Source organism: Homo sapiens, chromosome 1 (genome assembly GCF_000001405.40).
Source record: "Homo sapiens chromosome 1, GRCh38.p14 Primary Assembly".
NCBI classification, from domain to species: domain Eukaryota; kingdom Metazoa; phylum Chordata; class Mammalia; order Primates; family Hominidae; genus Homo; species Homo sapiens.
The window spans coordinates 117,352,931-117,376,554 of record NC_000001.11 but is presented as its reverse complement, the minus strand read 5'-3'; the positions used below and the strand labels follow the sequence as shown (position 1 = coordinate 117,376,554).

General features: G+C 41.3%; 1 protein-coding gene across 4 annotated transcripts in view, besides 5 other annotated features; it reads right to left on the bottom strand.

Moving 5' to 3' along the window:
- The window catches only part of MAN1A2 (mannosidase alpha class 1A member 2), a 161,424-nt gene extending 152,318 nt beyond the window's left edge, over positions 1–9,106 (bottom strand). For all 4 annotated transcript variants that reach the window (NM_006699.5, XM_006710302.4, XM_011540536.4 and 1 more), the window contains exon 1: positions 8,070–9,106. In NM_006699.5, the coding sequence (NP_006690.1) occupies positions 8,070–8,371 (302 nt within the window). In that variant the 5' untranslated portion in view covers positions 8,372–9,106. The remainder of the gene's footprint in view (positions 1–8,069) is intronic.
- Positions 491–1,015: an enhancer, noted in NCBI's record as "H3K27ac-H3K4me1 hESC enhancer chr1:117918162-117918686 (GRCh37/hg19 assembly coordinates)". NCBI's record gives its function as "activates a minimal SCP1, AML or CMV promoter by ChIP-STARR-seq in primed H9 embryonic stem cells {active_cell/tissue: H9 hESC(primed)}" and the evidence as "EXISTENCE:reporter gene assay evidence [ECO:0000049][PMID:30033119]".
- Positions 8,041–8,180: an enhancer, noted in NCBI's record as "active region_1581". NCBI's record gives its function as "activates an Ori minimal core promoter by ATAC-STARR-seq in GM12878 lymphoblastoid cells {active_cell/tissue: GM12878}" and the evidence as "EXISTENCE:reporter gene assay evidence [ECO:0000049][PMID:35858748]".
- Positions 9,051–9,870: a silencer, noted in NCBI's record as "silent region_1239". NCBI's record gives its function as "represses an Ori minimal core promoter by ATAC-STARR-seq in GM12878 lymphoblastoid cells {active_cell/tissue: GM12878}" and the evidence as "EXISTENCE:reporter gene assay evidence [ECO:0000049][PMID:35858748]".
- Positions 12,791–12,850: a silencer, noted in NCBI's record as "silent region_1238". NCBI's record gives its function as "represses an Ori minimal core promoter by ATAC-STARR-seq in GM12878 lymphoblastoid cells {active_cell/tissue: GM12878}" and the evidence as "EXISTENCE:reporter gene assay evidence [ECO:0000049][PMID:35858748]".
- Positions 18,117–18,758: an enhancer, noted in NCBI's record as "H3K27ac-H3K4me1 hESC enhancer chr1:117900419-117901060 (GRCh37/hg19 assembly coordinates)". NCBI's record gives its function as "activates a minimal SCP1, AML or CMV promoter by ChIP-STARR-seq in primed H9 embryonic stem cells {active_cell/tissue: H9 hESC(primed)}" and the evidence as "EXISTENCE:reporter gene assay evidence [ECO:0000049][PMID:30033119]".

Here is a 23,624-nt window from a genome sequence, read left to right as displayed (position 1 = left end):
TGAGTGGCAGGTAGTTGGAAAAACACTAGAGGAATCATAGTTTCAACATGGCTTTACTCTCTGGGCGTGAGCGAGCCTTGGCGCGAGCCTTTTGTACCACGTTAGCAGGGTAATTAGACCTTTCACAGACCATAGTGGCTCCAAGCCAAGCACACACTCACATGGGTGATCACCTAATGCGCCTCACATGACATGGTTACATAATAAGCGGAGCTGTATGCCTGCACTCCAAACTCACTTGAGTCATGCTGGACCGGATGTCTGCCTCGACCTATTCTTGACCGCAGCATCCATCTTCCTTATACCAGATAACCCAGACCGTATATTAGAAATACATAAATTAGGGCCGGGCGCAGTGGGCTCACGCCTGTAATCCCAGCACTTTGGGAGGCCGAGGCGGGCGGATCACGAGGTCAGGAGATCGAGACCATCCTGGCTAACGCGGTGAAACCCCGTCTCTACAAAAAATACAAAAAATAGCCGGGCGTGGTGGCGGGCGCCTGTAGTACCAGCTACTCGGGCGGCTGAGGCAGGAGAATGGCGTGAACCCAGGAGGCGGAGCTTGCAGTGAGCCGAGATCGCGCCACTGCACTCCAGCCTGGGCGACAGAGCAAGACTCCGTCTCAAAAAAAAAAAAAACATAAATTAATTATCTTAAATACATCTTAGAAAAAGAAAACAAAAATGGGGAGAGATAGAATAACTTATCTGAACTCTTAAAAAATGCCAATGACCTAAATGCCTGTACCAGAACCTCCCATAGGTGGAAAGTTATCTCTAAGACCCCTGGAATCTGGCTCCAAACATAATAATATGCTTTAAGAAAAATATCAAGACGTGAGTCTAAGATCTGAATTTTTCAATAGTCAAAATTAATCTTCTGTAACATTCATTAATAATCTCCAATATTTAGCAAAATGCCTGGTACATAATAAACACTCAAAACACTTGCTGAACAAATGATTGTGACTAATATTTTTTAATGGTAATATCAACATCACTAAGGGGAGGCCAAGAGAGCTACATAACAGGTTGATTATATAAATATTTTTTTAAAAAGTCAAAAGGAAAAACAACACCTGTGTTCTTTGTAATCTCCAGATTACTTAATTTCCTCTTTTTTTAAAAAAACTATTTGTATAACTTGTCCCAAAAGTTGTTCTTAAGATATGGAGAACAGGAGAGAACACTTTCAGTGGAATCTCTCAATATTAAGGTTAGGAAATTATAGTCCTTCCCATGAGAGGTGTGTTTTGTTAAAAAATTAAAATAAATTTTTTTAAAAAAGGAAATTATAGCCTTAAATCAAAGAAAATTGTGCCACAGGAGTAGTAAGAGCCTTCAAAGGGTCTGAGGCCTCAGTCAAGGACTGTATTCCACAGAATCTATCCTAAAGTCTCAGGTAACAGGTGAAGACGTGTAATTGATAACTGGGCTCAAGAAATGACACCTGAAAACAATTTTGTAAATATACCCACTACATTCAGGCTGGCATATCAAATGCTCAATAAACTATACTTTAAAACTAACAAGAAACAAGAATGTATAAAAGTCATTTCGTTCATTTTCACATTTTAAATCGGTATAGATTTCATTATGTAAATAATAATATTATGTAAATAAATTTTAGTCATTTCCAAAGTGATTTTAAACTAATTTTTATATACAAAAAAGACACTAATTCCTTTAGAATACATTTTATCTTTGTAATATTTGAGATGTATGAACTAAATTACTGCACACTCTTCAGTTCCCTACTTCATAAAATTACTTGTATTTCATATGCATGAGCTAGAAAAAAATCTTTAAAGATTCAATCAATTCCCTCATTTCATAAATAAGAACATCGAGGCACAGAGAAGTTGAATAGCATATCTAAATATACTTCAACAACCAAGGACAATGGTGAAACTAAAGCCCCTGTCTCTTAACACTGAGTCCAATGTTCTTTCTAATATATAATGATGCCTTCCTTCTGGACTACATTAAATTCAAAAACAGATCATTGGAAAGAATGCCCTTTGAAGGAGATTTTTTTTTTAATGACAAATCCTAATACCCAATCTGAAAATAAAACTCCAGTGCAGACTTCATTACAACCATGTTTTAACAGGAATAAAGTTCTAGCAAAAATTCAATAGCAGTGAAAATAAACTTTTCTGACAGAATTTGCACAACTAGGGAAAATAAAAGTAGCAATATGATTTTCCTATCCAAGAAATATGTGGAGTCAGCCCAAACCAGAAGTTAATTTTTTTTAAAGAGGCAGAGCCTCTGTCTCTCAGGCTGGAATGCACGGACACAATCATAGCTAACTACACCCTCGAACTCCTGGGCTCAAGTGATCCTCCCACCTCAGCCTCCGACTACAGGCAGGCACCAACCACCATGCCCAGCTGTGTGCATGTGCGAGTATGTGCAGTGACAGGGTCTCACTATGTTGCCCAGGCTAGTCTCAAACTCCTGGCCTCAATCAATCAATCCTCCCACCTCCACCTCCCACATAAGTTAAATATTCTATAATTTTCAAACAATAGTAAACAAAACATTTGCCCAGTTAAAAATAAATTGGCTGCTCTGCCTATAATCCTTTGTTTCTTTCCTCCTCTAATAAACTTGCTTTCACTTAAAAAAAAAAATCAATTAATGTTTACCATGTACTACTGATTTCTAGAAGATACTTAGCTTCTGCATTACCAACTTTCCAATCTTAGGCATGAGCTCCAATTTGAAAGTATCCATATCGATAAAAATAAGATTCGGTTGGGTGCAGTGGCTAACACCTGTAATCCGAACACTTTGGGAGGCCAAGGTAAAAGGATTACTTGAACACAGGAGTTTGAGACCAGCCTGGGCAACAAGTAAGACCCTATCTCTACAAAAATTAAAACTTAACCTAGCATGGTTGTTCACACCTGTAGTCCCAACTCATGCCCATAGTTTCAGCTACTCAGAAGGCTAAGACAGGAGGATCACTTCAGCATAGGAGTTTGAGACTATAGTGAACTGTAATTGTGCCACTGCACTCCAGCCTGGACCACAGAATGTACCCAAAAAAAAAAAAAAAAAACAAATGCAGCAAAGGCATCTACACCAGTCTGTTGTTGACAAACGTCAAATACAAACAAACCTCACAATAATTCATGTCTGAGTAAAGGGAAGTGGGAAAAATAACCATGAGCAATTTATAAGGGAAATGGAACATCCAGCAGACTTTAATATTAGTGCATAAAACAATGTGACGTCGCCCAAACAGGAGCAGAAAGCCCCAAATAAAAAACAGGATAGAAAAAAAAGGTCCAGAAGAGGGATGAGACAAAGAAAGATGACAAGAAAATTAAAATTGCAATAGTGAGATTTGAAATCTCTACTCTTGTAACAAAACTGAATCAAGCAAAAAAAAAACACGAATCATAACATGAAGAACTTGAGAAACTCACTAAAGCACACTGCAGCCTGGACTAGCCACATTTTAAGTGCAATAGTCATATATAACTAGTGGCTATGGTACTGGACAGCGCACAGGTTTGAGTGATTACGTCTAGCACAATGCCACACAGCTAGTTAGTAGAACTAAGATGCAGCCTTATTTATAACTCCAATGCCTTTGAGGAAAGTATCAAAGGTAAACATATACCTGACCCTCAAGTATTCAATTCAGACTAACAAAGTTCTGACTGGAGGGTGAAACTTATTAGCTATTCAGATAAACAGCTCATAAGCTGGGTTTTTTTTTTTTTAACTCACAAAGCCCATCTATAAATGCCATTATATAAAACAAATGTCAGTTTTAAAAAAAAAAGTTTTTAATTATTGAGATCTATTATGTACACAAAGTATACTTACGTATATTACTTTATGTATATTAGCGTATAACAACATGTATATTATAACAACTTCTGGTTTTGGGTACTGCAAAATCATAGATACTATAAATAACCATAATCAACACCAAACTACACATTTGATATATCCTTATCATCTATAAAGTGTATCTACAGTGTTTGAAAATTCTGGATTATTTATGAACTACTTAATAGAAGGGAACATATTGGTTTCCTCATGAAAATATACTAAATTCATGTAATACCACTATTATCTATAAATTAGGGCATTAATTAAATATAGTATGTATTTCTTACTAATCCATGGCCATGTCACCCAGAAACCTAGACATTATCTTGGACTCACTTTTCTTTCTATTTTGGCCCCATATTTAACCAACCACCATTTTCTGTGAAACTTAATAGTTTAACACCTCTTGACTCAACCACTTTTCTCCACTAATTTATCTCATTCTCCACTATCACCACTGCGATCTAAGCCAATATATCCTCTGTGACCCAGCCCCTCTTAACTTGTTATCCTCCTGCTTCTTACCATCCAGTAAGTAATCATTGCAACCAAAGTGATTATTTAATTTTTTTAATTTAAAATGATCATGTCATTCCCTTGCTTTTATTACAATCCTTCAATAACTTCTCTTAGTATTTATGATAAAAACCAAAATATTTAACTACAAACTCTCTAGAATCCTGACTAGAATTTGCAAACTCAACAACAACCAGGTTAAATATTGATTGATTTGTATTTACTTATTTCGCACTCTGAGTGGCACATGCCCGCCCCCGTCCCCCTCCCAAGGGAGCAGCTGCTACTGGGTTGTGGCTTGAATATTACCATCTGAAAATACACTGGATGTTGCCATAACCTCTAATTTTTCAAGAAAGATCAGAAATCCAGACTTTAACATGAAATCTCCTGATCTGTGAATGCTGACAACTAATTCAAACTTTTGTAACAACAATAAGGAGGCCAAAAAACTTGTAAGCAGGCCAAACCTGACCTCTCATCTAGTCTCATCACCCAGACCCACACCCTCTGCAACAGCCATACTTAACATTTCTCAGATTCTTAGTGATGCCAAGCTTTTTTTCCTTAGGGCTCTCACACATGTTGTGTCTTCTGCTTTGACCCTCAACCTCCCCTCAACCTCCAATTCCACTTCATTAAGCAATCTCCTACTCATTCTACGTTTCTGAGGCACACTTTCTCAATGAAGTCTTCCTTATTCCCACTGCCCCTCCACCCCCAACTCTATAGACTAGGTCACACATTCCTTGCTCTGAAAGCACTGAGTACAACTTCGTAACATTCATCACACCTCAAAAACAAAATTATTTATTTAATGCCCATCATCTCTCCCTAGATTGAAAGTTTCATGAAAGCGGGGCCTGCCACAGTAGGCATACATTTGTTGCCAACCAGTTTGGTTATAAAATGTTCCTTTAGACAATAAGATCCTAGTATACTTCTAAATATTAATCAAACTGTACCCTACTTTTCAGAAAATATACAGTATTTAAAGGAAAGTAGATTCCGAATAAAAATATTCCATTACAATTATAATCACTGATGATAATAATAGTTAACATTTATTGATCATTTACTAAATGCCAGGAACTATGTTGAGTGCTTTGCATGTACTATCTCTTTCAATAAAACAATCTGTAAAGTAGATACATGCCACTGTGATACAAAGGAAACAATATAGAGTTTTAAAATTTCTCAGTATCATAAATCTAATCAGTGGCAAGCTAGGGTATGAATCTATACAGTCTGACTCCAGAACTTAAACACCAAATTATTATACTAATCTATTAATAAAGAAATACTAACTAAACAAGTATCTCTTAAGTACTGCAAATAAGAAATGGTGACCATGACTTATTTTCCATTACTTATTAGTTAAAGTAACATTCCTCAGCCCTCTATCCTGTACCCTTACACACACACACACACACACACACACACACTAAATGAAGATAAACTGTCAATTTGTTTCTTCTAAATTAGGTAAGTTCTGACCCATACCCAAAATACATATGATCTTAGTACCAACTGTAAAAGTGCTATTTTTCTGAATTATTTTTAAATAAGTTAATGTTTATACATTTGATGTTTTCTGTTTCCACATTTTAAACATACACTTAATTTAAAAAGTATTTCCTTGCTCAAAGTAAAAGAAAGTTTATTACTACAGACTCTTTTCTGATATAGTAAACAACAGCAAATAATACGCTAAAGCAAATGTCAACTGATATAACCACAGAAATACAAAGAGATAACACAAGGATCCTTTGCCACCTGAACTCTATTTGAATTCTCGTTTTCCAAAACTCAGGAACCGAATAGATTCCAAAAACTGCATTGGAATCTATCCAGACTCACATGTATCACTTGCTATCCAGACTCTTACTAGCCAAAACTCAGGGCATGGCTCACAAACCACCCCTGCTATCAGAACAATAACCAATCTCTCATTCCAAACTCAGGAACCCAATAGTTTTAGATAGCTAAATACATATGCATATATATCCAAGGGCTTCATAAATTTAAGAATTCTTGTTTAAACTATTTATACAGACTGTTAAAAATGTGAATAAAAGGCACATATCTGTATTTTCATTCAAATTTCATATTTTAACTCCATTTACTGAGAATTTTTGTGTAAATGTTTTTAAACTAAAATGTGGTCATATTATTTTAAACTTTTAGACCATTCAAAATGTATTTTTTAAACTGCTTAGTACATGACAGATACTATTAATAATAGAGCTAAGTAATGTTAATGTGTGGCTGTTGTGAAACAGCTCTAAAAACAGCCTTAACACATTTTTTCAATATATTTCATATGTTATACAAATACCATGCGAAATAAGATTTTCAAGGAAAACTACTTTCACCGTTAATTTTTCAGTAACATATTTCACAGATCATATTAGTGTTTTCTTAAAGTCACAACAAGCAAAGTGCAAAATTAAAGAAACAAATACAGGAGTACAGTAGTCGAAAATGGCAAAAATTCCAAATTAACTTAGTTACAAAAGAATGGCATGAAACAATATTAGAAGTAACTACTCCATAAAATTCATCCAAAAGTCAAAGAACCATCACACAAGTAATGAATTAACTAGGTTGAGAAAAAAAGAAAAACCAGTTCTCATAAAACAGTGCATTTTCCCAAATATTTAATGTAGGCTTACACGTGAACCTAAGCTTTTTCGGTGCTTGACAAAAAGTTAAAACTATCATCAGATGGGAAATGAATTCAAGCACATGATTTTTTTTCCCACATACTCAAGAATTATTTTAAGAAACAAGGAAAAGATGGCAGGTTTAAGAAAAGTCAACTACTTTCCCAAACTCTTGAGTACAAATATAAAAATTATAAAAATTGTAACTAGAGCTCCCATTTTATCCTAGTTTGGCTATGCTCTCCCCAGAGCTCACTTTAGATTTAGTGATCTGAAAGAATGTGAACCCCTTAATCAACCAAATTCCAATAGTTGCTTGACACAGTCCATCTATTACATTAAAAGAGAGAGCAAAATTAAGTTTCACAAAAATAAATCTTGTCTACAAGCCTCACAAAGTGCAATAACTTAGGATTCAATACCTTTTAACTTAACTGATTTCATATACAGCACCAACACACATCCCCAAAAAAAGAACAAAAATCAGGATATTTTCACGTTAAGAAATGACAGGTATATTCTGCCCACGTTTGTCATCCTAAAAAGCTGACTCACTACTAAGCTTCAACTACAAGCCAGAAAACGAGAGCCCTCTGGGAGAGCACACCCAAAAGAGCTGTCAAGGTTCGATGCTTTGATTTCACATGGTGGCACAATGACTGACTCCAACACGTTATTAATAAATGCAGGCACAGCTTATGTCACCATTTCTTTAGGTTAAGTTTTCATACCTCCCTTCCCAGATGTCCACATTAGACACAACTCTGAACGCAAATGTTTTTCTTATATAAAACCGAAGAGAAGAACGACTTAGGTAGGACTCCAGTCCTACCAGTCTATGGACTCTACCATAGACTGGAGGTAGAGTCCCTCCAGTCTATGGTTTTATTCAGCCAGTCTTGAAGTAACAATACAATATTTATGACTCGAAAAATTACATTTTACTGCAAGAAAAAAAAAAGACAGATTCGATCCAATCACCGTACCTTGCTCTGCCAAATGTTAGTACCAGAACTTCTGAAATAAACAAACCTGTGTCTATGTTCATCGGGTCCATGGATCAGGAAGACTCCGGGGTTTTTAGCCCCTTTACCGGCATCTACATGTGGAATTAACACATCTTCTAAACCCAAATCAAAGCGTTTGTGTTTTGAAGAGTCTGGAAGGAAAAAGAATGCCCCAAAACACAGAGTGATGAAGGCACTAAGAATAAGGAGAAGAATAAACTTCTCAGAAAGTCTCAAGGTAGCCCTGTGATGTGGGAAGGAAGGCGGCCCCAGGTTCAGAGGTGGTATCCTACGTCCAGAGAGGGGCAGCAGGGCTGGGGTAGTCATCGTTTACGCTCTTGGAGAGAATACTTTAGAAAGTTCTCATCTTATGTCAAATGTAGAATACATTGAACTGTCTTCAAAATCTTGGCCAAAATGGGAAAACTCAATTTTGCTCCTCTTAAAGGACTGTTGTGCTTTTTAAGAGGGCACGTCATTCACGCCCATCCATTCCCACTCAGAAACGTGTGTGACCTCCCCCAAACGATCACAAGTTTAGGTCCTGCGATATCCTCTTCAACATCTGTACTTCATCGGATTATTACAAGCCTCCTCTTCATTCCTAGGGGTAGATCAGGCAAGCCACACTGCAGAAAAGCTGCAAGGTGGGTTCTTCCATTCCTGCACCTCAGTGAGATGCTCAAACGTAGTCTTCCGCCCCGAAAGGGAGACTGGCGACATCCGAGGAGTTGTAGAAGGTTCACTTGATCTCCTTCGACGCTTCTATTCCAGAATCTCTTAACCTTAGCGGTGGAAAAAATAAGGGTCTCCCACGGACGTCTGCAAACAGGGAGGAAGGTCTCCCACTTCGCTGGGAAGCCGAAGCAGCGGCGCTGGGCGAAGTAGCAGGAAGGAGTTCTCGGCCGCCCGCGCTTCCCGGCGCTGCCTGGCAGGAACCTGGCGCCCGGCTGAGTCCCGCTGCTGCCCACTCGACGGCTGGCGCGAAGGGCAATAGCGTCCGAAACACCTGAGTCCGGCCAGCCGCCGCGGCCGCCGCCGCTGTTGCTACCGCACGGGTCTGTCAGGGAGCGGAACTTCCTCCTCCGGCGGCCACTGAGAAGCCCCGGCGTGTCCTGGGGGAGGGGAGGCGCGGCGGCCGCCCCCGCCGAGCTCCTCCTCCTCCTCCTCCTCCTCTTCCTCCTCCTCCTCCTCCTCTCCGCGGCCGGTTCAGTGAACCCCGGCGCCTGCTCCCCGAGCTAGGCCGCCGGCCGCAGTGGCCGAGCCCTCGCGCCTAAGAAGCCGAGCCGGGGCCCACGCTCCGAGAGCCCGGGGTAGGCGCCGGCTCATTCCTCACTCAGCCCTGGAGCGGCGGGAGGGCCTGGGCGCGCGGGAGCAGCCGCGCCTCGGGCGGGCAGAGGTCGGCCGCGTCTCCTTCCTGCCCGGCCGCGGGGGCCTCCTCCGCGCCGCCTCCGGTGGCTCGCAGCTGCTGGCTCTGGCGGCGGCTGCCAGAGAGGCAGCGCGCCCACGCCGCTCGGGGCTGCGGCCCGGTCCCCGTACCCTGCCTCCCCAGGCCTGGTGAGCGCAGCAGCTGCTGGGCCGACACCCGTTGGGCTCACGCCGGAGAGGAACCGGAGGGCGGGGGCGATGGGACCCGGGCCGGCCTACCGGCCCCGGCTCGCGAGTGGGCGTCCCCGGGCGGCGGAGTGTGAGGTGCGCGCGCACGCTCCCGGCTCCGCTGCCGCCGCCCCTCCCCCACCCAGCCTGGCTGCCCGGGCTCCGGCCTCGCGCCGCTGCCGGCTCCAGCAGCCCGAAAGCGTACTGCTGCCGCCGCCGTCTGAGCGCGAAAGAAGAGAAGGTCGCCGATCTGCGCTGCCACGAGAACTTCACCGGTGCCCAGGGCCTTGCCACCGCCAGTTCGTGGGGTTGACCCAGCGTTTGGGCGAGAGGGAGCGAGGGGTTGGGTCGCGAAGGTTTCGCTGAAATGTAGTGTCACCGGAGTTAATGGCTTCTGATGGCTTAGGTTAACGTTTACTGTGATTCTTTGGAAGTCTTGTCTTCAGCGATAGACCGTCAGGCCCGAGGATTCAGCAACAGGGTCTCAAACTTCCACGCAGCAGCCCATGCTCACGTTATTGGGCCCCCGAGGCTCGATTAATAGAGCACCAACATGTGCCATGTTACGTTTTTAAAATAAAGTGGTGACCCTGCTCCTTCAGCTGGGCTTCCTTTCAGAGGAATCTAGGTACCCCCGATATGACAGGCGTCTCTTCATTGTTCAGTTTCTGGGGCACGTTCTATCATCTTCACACACCTCATCAACCCCCTTCCCATAAAAGAGAAAATGGATGAATAAGGAGGTGCTGAAACCCAAAAAGGCGACAATATTGTTTACGTTCAGGCTTAAAAACAATCTGAATCAATTCTGTTCTCCGTAGTATTGAGGAGAGCCATGTTGTGATTAAGTGCAAAAGATTTCCTTGCAAGATACATAGACTCTTGCATCCGATTTACTTGCAGGTTGTTTTTGTTCTAATATTGTCATTCCCTGTACACATCCTTTACTGATGACTGGGAATTGGAGAGGAGGCCCTTAAATGTCAGGAGAGTAAGTCAGCCTTAGCTTAAAAATCAAGCAGAAAAGTCTCATGTTCATTGGCACACTTGTAACTACATTCCAGTCTCCCAGTCTGCATTATTTCTAGAAGCTCTGCATATCTAACTGCCTACCACATGACAAAAGTCATTGTCATTGATCCTGCTTCACCAAATAAAAAGTAAAAATATTGAGGGCCACCTCTCACCAGTTCACCCAGGGAGACTGGTAAGCAAGGAGTGCCCGGTCCCTAGTGAGATTTATGTTGAACATTTGTGAAGAGTAGATATAAGAAACTTTTAGCCTTCCCAATATGTCTTTATAAAATGTGCCAAATTTAAGAATAAGTCTCTAATGTTGAGACTCCGTAAGCCAAAGTGGGGGGGGCGGTGGGGAGGCGGGGAAGAACACACTGTTTTCCTACTGTTGAGATCATTAGTTTCCATGAAAAGTTCAGGGGAAATAAATACTGAACTCTGAATGAAATAGCAAGTTATATAAATCTTGAAAAATAAATATTACCTAGGTTAACACTAGACTTAACCACAAGAGATTTCAATCATGAAACCTGACATAACCTAGTTGACAAGTATAGCTTAAGCAAGTAAGACCTCATTGCTGATGGAGAAGACCCCTTTTCCTTTGCTTGTCTGTTTTGCAAAATTCATTTTTCCTTCATGAGAGTAAAAACAATTTAGGGGTTATTGCAGATGTCCAAATGCAGCCAGCAATTTTAAAGTCATTGATGATACCGTCAGTTATCACACTCCTACACCAGCAATGAAAATACTGTATACATAGTATTACATATATCCACTCTTCTAAAGGCAAGTCTGAGTTTTTAAAGAATCATGTTGTTTAAAAAAAAAAAAGTTGCAAATGTATCCATTAATTATAATTATATGCACTTAAAAACATAGAAAAAGAATATTTGAAAAAGATTGCAACTATTCTGTTAAGATACTGGTTTTACGTATGATTTTCTCCATTGTATTCTGTTGCATTATATTTACAATTAAATAAAAATTATAAAGGAACTGGTGCCTGAAAAAGTTAAGGTCAAATTTCAAATAGGTAGACTCGGTAGTATCAAGATGAACACACAGACCGGCCCATCTGAAGGCAATCGGCAGAAACAGTATGCAGCCTGTTCTATGTATGTGTGTATGTGTGTGTACACGTACAACAGGGAAGGATTTCATTCCAGAGAGTCTAAAAAGAATATTTCATTTTCAAAGAGTAGTTACCCTTTGATCAGAGATTCCAAAGTGATGATTTCCCTTTTACAAATCCATATAAATTAATATTTTAGAAATTAGAATTAATAAATTACTAACAAAATTTACTCCTGCAGATTTACAGGACCACTCCTAAGATCCACTCGTATTGCAATGTGGAAGTTACTTGTATTTGTTCAACCATGTGTTGACTTTTCTATTATTGAAACCATTTCACACCTGTTATACACACACGCATGCACACACACACACACACACACACACATACACCCCTAGCTCTGTTTTAAGTGAAACTGAAGTGCTACAGGAAAAAAATAAAAGCTGGTATGCAAAAAGAGGCTTTTGATTTACTTATGTAACCTGTTCCAACTGGTGCCCAAAATGTACAAGGAAGATATTGGAGGAGAAATTACTCGACGTGACCACTGAATGTGTAGGGAAATAACAGGCTTCAGCCTTGCTCCTTCCAATCTTGCTTTCCTCTATGAGGCATTTTCCTCAGAGGTCAGGGATAAACTGAAGTTCAGTGCTGTGAAGCCCTCAAGTAAGATCCGTGAAAGTCGGCAAAGCCAAAAAATCTTGGCTGCTTCTCTGAGCCAAAGTACGTGAGGCTCATTTGCTTATAAAAGACTCATTTGTTGGAGGACTACTATTTGACAAATCCTGTACTAGGTGCTGGAGATTTGGAGAAATAAGTCAGAATCCTTATGCTCAGTGAGCTTGCAGTCTAGTGTGGAGGAGTAGATGAACACTGACGATTACAAGACAGTGGGAAGAATGCTGTTGGAGCAAAGTGTCACGGGCTTTATGGGAACACTGAAGGTGCCACAGAGTGAGAGGAGGTGGATTGGGAAAGTTAGGGAAAGTTCCCCAATCCAGTGTCACCTGAGCTGAGCCTTGAACCATAAGAGAAGGGTCGTGCTCCAGCCTAGGGAGCAGAGCATGCGCAGGCACCCATAGCTGGTTTTTCCTGCCATTTACGCAGAACACTTCCTGCTCTACTCGTCCAGTAAATAGCTTGCCTGGCCCTAATCTCACAACACTCTTGAGCTGGGAAAGTGAAAATGGTGGGGCAGTGCTATTGCATTGCAAATAAAATGGGTTCAGAATGACTAATGGGTATTGCCAACATGTTTCTGTAATGAAAAGACATAGATGGTATTCGTGCTTTCACAGGCAGTACCCTCTTGTTTCAGGCAATGTTTCACCTCTTTAAATCCATTAATAAAGTGAAGCCCTTTAAATGTATATGAGGTACTGAACTAGGAGTCAAAAGACATGGATTTCAAACCTAGCTCTACTCCTTACTGAGTTTCCTTATTTATAAAACATAATAGTCCTTACCTATTTTATAGGACTGTTTAAGGATCAAATGAGCTATTGTTTCTAAAATGCTCTAAAGACTTGTTTGTTCTATTCAGAATAATAGGTTGCTGATGGTTGTGTTTGTGTGACTTGGAAACATGAAATTCCAGTTTGTCTAGCATTCCTTTAGAAAACTATCTTTTCCCCGGTCTTAGTCTATTGGTCTAGATTGGGATGACCTCTCAACCACCCACTATAGCACTTGCTCCCACCATTAACTAGATCCAGGAATGTTACCCAGATTTGACTAACCTGTGTTCCACATTTCCCTGGCCATAATGATTGGTTTGGAAAAGGGCAAGTGACACAAACCAAGCTAATCCAAACCCTCCTTAGGTCATTTCCTGATGTCATCAGCAAAAGTGGTATCTCTTTACCTTAGAATTCCCAGCCCTGAGCGTGCTATAACCTTAGAGCTGCCAGTGGCCTTCTTGCCACCATGTGAGGAAGTTTGCTACTAATGAAGCAAACAGAGAAGAAAAGAGCTGAAACAGTGAGAGAGAAAGTATCTACATGGTATCACTTGAGCCCTTGGTAAGGGTGGATCTGGGTCTTGTGGGGCTGGAAGCATACCTAATTTGAGGAGTCCTCTTTAAGAAAAATAATACAAAATGAATTATTAAAGTGGATTTTAGGGCGGGTGTGGTGGCTCACACCTGTAATCCCAACACTTTGGGAGGCCGAGGCAGGTGGATCATGAGGTCAGGAGATTAAGACCATCATGGCCAGCCTGGTGAAAACCCGTCTCTACTAAAAATACAAAAATTAGCTGGGTGTGGTGGCGAGCGCCTGTAATCCCAGCTACTCAGGAGGCTGAGGCAGAAGAATCGCTTGAACCCGGGAGGCAAAGATTGCAGTGAGCCAAGATCGCGCCACTGCACTCCAGCCTGGTGACACAGTGAGACTCCATTTCAGGAAAAAAAAAAAAGGATTTTGCTAAACTGAATTCCATTACAAGTGAGTATGTCTTAGTAATGCTGAGACCACACCACCACCACCCGACCCACGCGACCAATGGAGCAGTGTGACGGATAGGAAATCAGAGTAGAAAAGAAACCACAATCTTAACCAATCGTGATTGAAATATTTTATTTTTACAAGATTTAGAAAAACATGATTATGTATACATGTTGCTAGGACCTCTCCCAGAGCCTAAGACAGGACCGAGCAATTAGTAACCCAGAAATTTAAACTTCATTGGGCTCATTGTAAATCTACTTCTCTGAATCCAGGTATATCTAAGGCTATTTCATCTTTTGAATTTCTCGGTTGTATAAGTCTATAAATTTCTTTTTCAGTCAGAATTAGTTTCTGTGGCTTACATTCAAGAGTCTTGACTAATACACAGTGTGTCTTTACATGGAGGTATTGTGGCTGGTAGTAGTATGTGAAGCTTCAGTAGTTTTACAAGTATAAGTGATCAGGGACTAGAAGGAACCTACTCTTTCAGGTAGGCAACAAGCTTGGGCAGGGACAAAAGCAGAATGAAACCAGCAGAGATGTCTCTGTGGTCGGCCAGGGAAAGAAAACCTAAAACTGGGAGGGCTGGACAGATGTGACTGCAGAGGTATATCAAAGCTAGCAACCCCTACAGAAACCTTCCAAGTTGGATCCTCATATCCACCTTTATGAAAAGGAATTTGACTCCAAAAGAGGTTAGGAATTCTTTATAAATCCTTATATTAAAATTGTTTTAAATCCATTCTAGGCAGCTAATTTGAGAATATGTTTCATTGATTTATATATTCATTCATTCATTATTATTGAGCACTCACTCTCTGTTGGTGTTATGCAGTGTTCTAGGCATCCAGAGATGAATAAAACATGAGAAGCAGCTGTATATGATGAAAAGAACATGGGCTCTGGAGCTGGAGAAACCTGGGCCTAATCTTGCCTCTGACATTTACTTGCATAATATTGGAAACAAAGGAAATCTTACTTGTTCTTAATTTATTCATCCATAAAATCAGGATAAAAATACACACCTCATAGGGTTGTTATGAGGATTAAACTCAATAATGTATGTGATAGTGCTTCCCCCCATAGTTGGGATTCAATAAGTATTAACTATTGTTTTTATTATAGGCATTAGAAAAAGTAAGAGTTGGTAGATAAAGAGAGGAAGGAAGAGCCTTTGAAAATACTTACAGGGACCAGGTGTGGTGGCTCACACCCGTAATCCCAGCTTTGGAAGCCTGGGAAATGTGGTGAGACCGTGTCTCTACAAAAAAATTTAAAAATTAGCTGGGCACGGTGGTGTGCGCCTGTAGTCCTAGCTGCTTAGGAAGCTGAGGTGGAGGATAGCTTGAGCCCAGGAGTTCAAGGTGTAATAGAGCAAGTCCTTGTCTCAAAAGATAAAAGAGAGGGAAGAGAAAGGAAGGGTAGGGGAGGAGGGAAGGGAAGGAAAGGAGGGAAAGGAAGAGAAGGAGGGAAGGGAAGGGAAGAAGGGAGGGGGGACAAGGAATAGAGGAAGGAGAAAGGGCATGGCATGTGTTAAGGGAAACTCGTCTCCCATAGCTTGAGCCCAGGAGTTCAAGGCTGCCATGAGCTATGATGGTACCACTGGACTCCAAACTGGCAAGAGCTTGTCTCCAAAGAAAGAGACAAAAGGGCCAGGTGCGGTGGCTCACACCTGTAATTCCGGCACTTTGAGAGGCCAAGGTGGGCAGATCACCTGAGGTCGGGAGTTCGAGACCAGCCTGACCAACATGGAGAAAACTCGTCTCTACTAAAAATACAAAATTAGCCGGGCGTGGTGGCACACGTCTGTAATCCCAGCTACTCAGGAGGCTGAGGCAGTAGAATCTCTTGAACCCGGGAGGCGGAGATTACAGTGAGCCAAGATTGCACCATTGCACTCCAGCCTGGGCAACAAGAGCAAAACTCTGTCTCAAAAAATAAAAATAAAAGAGACAGAGAGGGAAGGAAGAAAGGAGGGAGGGAGGAAGGAAGGAAGGAAAGAAAAAGACAAGACTTAGAGGAATGAGAAGGAGCATGTCCTGTGTGTTAAGGTGTTAAGGGAACCTCCTCTCCCTTGGCACCATGTTTCCATGGGAGGAGAGGGGAATTTCTACTGGAGTGCTAGTTCTGCTTTCTTATACCACTATTCTTCACACTCAGGAGTGCGTTACTTGATTGGTGAGTACTGTTACATTCATTAGCTCATAGTTCTTGACTGGATGGAACTAATCTAATAAATTCATTCTTTTTTTTCCCTTTCTGCCCTAGATCAGTGCAGACAATGATCTTAGATAAACATGTTTGGCAGCAGACCTAAACTTCCCCTTTAGTGGGCTGTTCCAAGGCTAGATTCTGTGGGGGTCGAGAGTCAGCAGAGAATGTTGGCAAGCCCTTTTGGGTTACAGATCTATAACCTAGTTTTATTAGCTTATCTGTAATGAAGCATAAGGGTAGATAGATATAATATAGATATCAATTTTTTTAAGTCTCTATATGACTTTCGTCTGTTGTCTTATTTCATCCAAAGTTGGGGGTTGGGAGACAGGCATGCAATTTATTGACCCTCTGGAAACTGAAAGTAGTTCATTATGGCTAGAACATAAATTGTAAGGTAGCGATGGTGAGAGGTGAAAATGGAGAAGTACACACAGAAATATGTCTACTCAACTTGGTGCAGTAACACCATGCTTTCATCTACTCCTTTTCCTCCACACACAGAGAAATGATGGCTAAAAAATAGAGAAAACCAAAAAGACATAACCAGGCTCAAGAACAAAATGATCATTTTCATGGATCTAAAGTGGAACCAAACAGAAAGCATTCAGCAAGCCTGGAGCTACAAGCTCACTGTGGTCTCAGGCTCAAAAGCCAAGATTATTGTCTCCTGCAAGGTGAAAGGAATTACAGATGGTTCAGTTGAGGGCAGGAGCCAGACTTAGTGCTTGAAGCCAGGAACTCCTGAAAGGAGGCTGCATATAAACCGCTGCCAACCCACTACCTGGTAAAGTAGAAGAACAAAGGCACAGCCTTGGAGTCAGGAACCAAGCCAAGCAGCTGGCCATGTGATTTGGCCTGTGGCATCACTAGGAATAGGAGCATCAAGATGCCAGCTTTAGATCTAATTCTAGAATAGAGGTCTGGGGAGACACATGGAGGCAAAATCACTAAGCATGGAGGTAAAATCACTAAGCATGGAGGTGAGCCCAGAAGGAGTGAGAAAAAGAAAATAAACTAAAACAAAACAGGAAAAAGCAAATAAAAACGTTCCCTCAAAATGAGCCTGACCACCAAGTTTCAATCACATAAAAATATCTAATACTATGAAAGCTAGCCAACAAAACGGACACTCAGAGCATGTATTTACTCCAGATAAAAATAATTCTATGGAACTATCTGGCAAATATTTTTAAATTAAATATTTTTGAATTTGATATGCAATAAATGGATGCATAGCACCCATTTTGAAAGGACAAGAAATTAAGGAACAGATACAGGCTGAATTAAAAAACAGGTAAATATGAGAAAGAACTAACAAAAATTTGAAAAATAAAAATATGGTCATTGAAATCAAAAGATATATGGAGCTAATCAAAGTCAAAGAGAAAAAGTAGTGAATTAAAGGGATGTACTAAAGAATTCAGCCAGAGCGGGAGGAGCCAAGATGGCCGAATAGGAACAGCTCCGGTCTACAGCTCCCAGCGTGAGTGACGCAGAAGACGGGTGATTTCTGCATTTCCATGTGACGTACCGGGTTCATCTCACTAGGGAGTGCCAGACAGTGGGTGCAGGACAGTGGGTGCCGCACACCGTGCGCCAGCCGAAGCAGGAGAGGCATTGCCTCACTCGGGAAGCTCAAGGGATCAGGGAGGTCCCTTTCCTGGTCAAGGAAAGGGGTGACAAACGGCACCTGGAAAATCGGGCCACTCCCACCCGAATACTGCGCTTTTCCAACGAGCTTAGGAAATGGCGCACCAGGAGAATATATTCCGCACCTGGCTCGGAGGGTCCTACGCCCACGGAGTCTCACTGATTGCTAGCACAGCAGTCTGAGATCAAACTGCAAGGCGGCAGCAAGGCTGGAGGAGGGGCGCCCGCCATTGCCCAGGCTTGCTTAGGTAAACACAGCAGCCAGGAAGCTTGAACTGGGTGGAGCCCACCACAGCTCAAGGAGGCCTGCCTGCCTCTGTAGGCTCCACCTCTGGGGGCAGGGCACAGACAAACAAAAAGACAGCAGTAACCTCTGCAGACTTAAATGTCCCTGTCTGACAGCTTTGAGGAGAGCAATGGTTCTCCCAGCACGCAGCTGGAGATCTGAGAACAGGCAGACTGCCTCCTCAAGTGGGTCCCTGACCCCTGACCCCTGACCCCCAAGCAGCCTAACTGGGAGGCACCCCCCAGTAGGGGCAGACTGACACCTCACAGGGCCAGGTACTCCTCTGAGACAAAACTTCCAGAGGAACGATTAGACAGCAGCATTCGCGGATCACGAAAATCCCCGATTCTGCAGACTCTGCTGCTGATACCCAAGCAAACAGGGTCTGGAGTGGACCTCTAGCAAACTCCAACAGACCTGCAGCTGAGGGTTCTGTCTGTTAGAAGGAAAACTAACAAACAGAACGGACATCCACACCAAAAACCCATCTGTACATCACCATCATCAAAGACCAAAAGTAGATAAAACCACAAAGATGGGGAAAAAACAGAGCAGAAAAACTGGAAACTCTAAAAAGCAGAGCGCCTCTCCTCCTCCAAAGGAACGCAGTTCCTCACCAGCAACAGAACAAAGCTGGATGGAGAATGACTTTGACGAGTTGAGAGAAGAAGGCTTCAGACGATCAAACTACTCCCAGCTACAGGAGGAAATTCAAACCAAAGGCAAAGAAGTTGAAAACTTTGAAAAAAATTTAGACGAATGGCTAACTGGAATAACCAATACAGAGAAGTGCTTAAAGGAGCTGATGGAGCTGAAAGCCAAGGCTCGAGAACTACGTGAAGAATGCAGAAGCCTCAGGAGCCAATGCAATCAACTGGAAGAAAGCGTATCAGTGATGGAAGATGAAATGAATGAAATGAAGTGAGAAGGGAAGTTTAGAGAAAAAAGAATAAAAAGAAACGAACAAAGCCTCCAAGAAATATGGGACTATGTGAAAAGACCAAATCTGCATCTGATTGGTGTACCTGAAAGTGACGGGGAGAATGGAACCAAGTTGGAAAACATTCTGCAGGATATTATCCAGGAGAACTTCCCCAATCTAGCAAGGCAGGCCAACATTCAGATTCAGGAAATACAGAGAATACCACAAAGATACTCCTCGAGAAGAGCAACTCCAAGACACATAATTGTCAGATTCACCAAAGCTGAAATGAAGGACAAAATGTTAAGGGCAGCCAGAGAGAAAGGTTGGGTTACCCACAAAGGGAAGCCCATCAGACTAACAGCGGATCTCTCAGCAGAAACTCTACAAGCCAGATGAGAGTGGGGGCCAATATTCAACATTCTTAAAGAAAAGAATTTTCAACCCAGAATTTCATATCCAGCCAAACTAAGCTTCATAAGTGAAGGAGAAATAAAATACTTTACAGACAAGCAAATGCTGAGAGATTTTATCACCACCAGGCCTGCCCTACAAGAGCTCCTGAAGGAAGCACTAAACATGGAAAGGCACAACCGGTACCAGCCGCTGCAAAATCATGCCAAAATGTAAAGACCATCAAGACTAGGAAGAAACTGCATCAACTAACAAGCAAAATAACCAGCTAACATCATAATGACAGGAGCAAATTCACACATAACAATATTAACTTTAAATGTAAATGGACTAAATGCTCCAATTAAAAGACACAGACTGGCAAATTGGATAAAGAGTCAAGACCCATCACTGTGCTGTATTCAGGAAACCCATCTCACATGCAGAGACACACATAGGCTCAAAATAAAAGGATGGAGGAAGATCTACCAAGCAAATGGAAAACAAAAAAAGGCAGGGGTTGCAATCCTAGTCTCTGATAAAACAGACTTTAAACCAACAAAGATCAAAAGAGACAAAGAAGGCCATTACATAGTAAAGGGATGAATTCAACAAGAAGAGCTAACTATCCTAAATATATATGCACCCAATACAGGAGCACCCAGATTCATAAAGCAAGTCCTGAGTGACCTACAAAGAGACTTAGACTCCCACACAATAATAATGGGAGACTTTAACACCCCACTGTCAACATTAGACAGATCAACAAGACAGAAAGTTAACAAGGATACCCAGGAATTGAACTCAGCTCTGCACCAAGCGGACCTAATAGATATCTACAGAACTCTCCACCCCAAATCAACAGAATATACATTTTTTTCAGTACCACACCACACCTATTCCAAAATTGACCACATAGTTGGAAGTAAAGCTCTCCTCAGCAAATGTAAAAGAACAGAAATTATAACAAACTGTCTCTCAGACCACAGTGCAATCAAACTAGAATTCAGGACTAAGAAACTCACTCAAAACCGCTCAACTACATGGAAACTAAACAACCTGCTCCTGAATGACTACTGGGTACATAATGAAATGAAGGCAGAAATAAACATGTTCTTTGAAACCAAGGAGAACAGAGACACAACATACCAGAATCTCTGGGATGCATTCAAAGCAGTGTATAGAGGGAAATTTATAGCACTAAATGCCCACAAGAGAAAGCAGGAAAGATCCAAAATTGACACCCTAACATCACAATTAAAAGAACTAGAAAAGCAAGAGCAAACACATTCAAAAGCTAGCAGAAGGCAAGAAATAACTAAGATCAGAGCAGAACTGAAGGAAATAGAGACACAAAAAATCCTTCAAAAAATTAATGAATCCAGGAGCTGGTTTTTTGAAAGGATCAACAAAATTGATAGACCGCTAGCAAGACTAATGAAGAAAAAAAGAGAGAAGAATCAAATAGACGCAATAAAAAATGATAAAGGGGATATCACCACCAATCCCACAGAAATACAAACTACCATCAGAGAATACTACAAACCCCTCTATGCAAATAAACTAGAAAATCTAGAAGAAATGGATAAATTCCTCGACACATACACTCTCCCAAGACTAAACCAGGAAGAAGTTGAATCTCTGAATAGACCAATAACAGGATCTGAAATTGTGGCAATAATCAATAGCTTACCAACAAAAAAGAGTCCAGGACCAGATGGATTCACAGCCGAATTCTACCAGAGGTACAAGGAGGAACTGGTACCATTCCTTCTGAAACTATTCCAATCAATAGAAAAAGAAGGAATCCTCCCTAACTCATTTTATGAGGCCAGCATTATCCTTATACCAAAGCCGGGCAGAGACACAACCAAAAAAGAGAATTTTAGACCAACATCCTTGATGAACACTGATGCAAAAATCCTCAATAAAATACTGGCAAACCAAATCCAGCAGCACATCAAAAAGCTTATCCACCATGATCAAGTGGGCTTCATCCCTGGGATGCAAGGCTGGTTCAATATACGCAAAGCAATAAATGTAATCCAGCATGTAAAGAGAACCAAAGACAAAAACCACATGATTATCTCAATAGATGCAGAAAAGGCCTTTGACAAAATTCAACAACCTTCATGCTAAAAACTCTCAATGAATTAGGTATTGATGGGATGTATCTCAAAATAATAAGAGCTATCTATGACAAACCCACAGCCAATATCATACTGAATGCGCAAAAACTGGAAGCATTCCCTTTGAAAACTGGCACAAGACAGGGATGCCCTCTTTCACCATTCCAATTCAACATAGTGTTGGAAGTTCTGGCCAGGGCAATCAGGCAGGAGAAGGAAATAAAGGGTATTCAATTAGGAAAAGAGGAAGTCAAATTGTCCCTGTTTGCAGACGACATGATTGTATATTTAGAAAACCCCATTGTCTCAGCCCAAAATCTCCTTAAGCTGATAAGCAACTTCAGCAAAGTCTCAGCATACAAAATCAATGTACAAAAATCACAAGCATTCTTATACACCAATAACAGACAAACAGAGAGCCAAATCATGAGTGAACTCCCATTCACAATTGCTTCAAAGAGAATAAAATACTTAGGAATCCAACTTAAAAGGGACGTGAAGGACCTCTTCAAGGAGAACTACAAACCACTGCTCAATGAAATAAAAGAGGATACAAACAAATGGAAGAACATTCCATGCTCATGGGTAGGAAGAATCCATATTGTGAAAATGGCCATACTGCCCAAGGTAATTTATACATTCAATGCCATCCCCATCAAGCTACCAGGGACTTTCTTCACAGAATTGGAAAAAACTACTTTAAAGTTCACATGGAACCAAAAAAGAGCCCGCATCGCCAAGTCAATCCTAAGCCAAAAGAACAAAGCTGGAGGCATCACGCTACCTGACTTCAAACTATACTACAAGGCTACAGTAACCAAAACAACATGGTACTGGTACCAAAACAGAGATATAGATCAATGGAACAGAACAGAGCCCTCAGAAATAACGCCGCATATCTACAACTATCTGATCTTCGACAAACCTGAGAAAAACAAGACATGGGGAAAAGATTCCCTATTTAATAAATGGTGCTGGGTAAACTGGCTAGCCATATGTAGAAAGCTGAAACTGGATCCCTTCCTTACACCTTATACAAAAATTAATTCAAGATGGATTAAAGACTTAAATGTTAGACCTAAAACCATAAAGACCCTAGAAGAAAACCTAGGCATTACCATTCAGGACATAGGCATGGGCAAGGACTTCATGTCTAAAACACAAAAAGCAATGGCAACAAAAGCCAAAATTGACAAATGGGATCTCATTAAACTAAAGAGCTTCTGCACAGCAAAAGAAACTACCGTCAGAGTGAATGAGCAACCTACAAAATGGGAGAAAATTTTCGCAACCTACTCATCTGACAAAGGGCTAATATCCAGAATCTACAATGAACTCAAACAAATTTACAAGAAAAAAACAAACAACCCCATCAAAAAGTGGGCGAAGGATATGAACAGACACTTCTCAAAAGAAGACATTTATGCAGCCAAAAGACACATGAAAAAATGCTCATCATCATTGGCCATCAGAGAAATGCAAATCAAAACCACAATGAGATACCATCTCACACCAGTTAGAATGGCAATCATTAAAAAGTCAGGAAACAACAGGTGCTGGAGAGGATGTGGAGAAATAGGAACATTTTTACACTGTTGGTGGGACTGTAAACTAGTTCAACCATTGTGGAAGTCAGTGTGGCAATTCCTCAGGGATCTAGAACTAGAAATACCATTTGACCCAGCCATCCCATTACTGGGTATATACCCAAAGGACTGTAAATCATGCTGCTATAAAGACACATGCACACGTATGTTTATTGTGGCACTATTCACAATAGCAAAGACCTGGAACCAACCCAAATGTCCAACAATGATAGACTGGATTAAGAAAATGTGTCACATA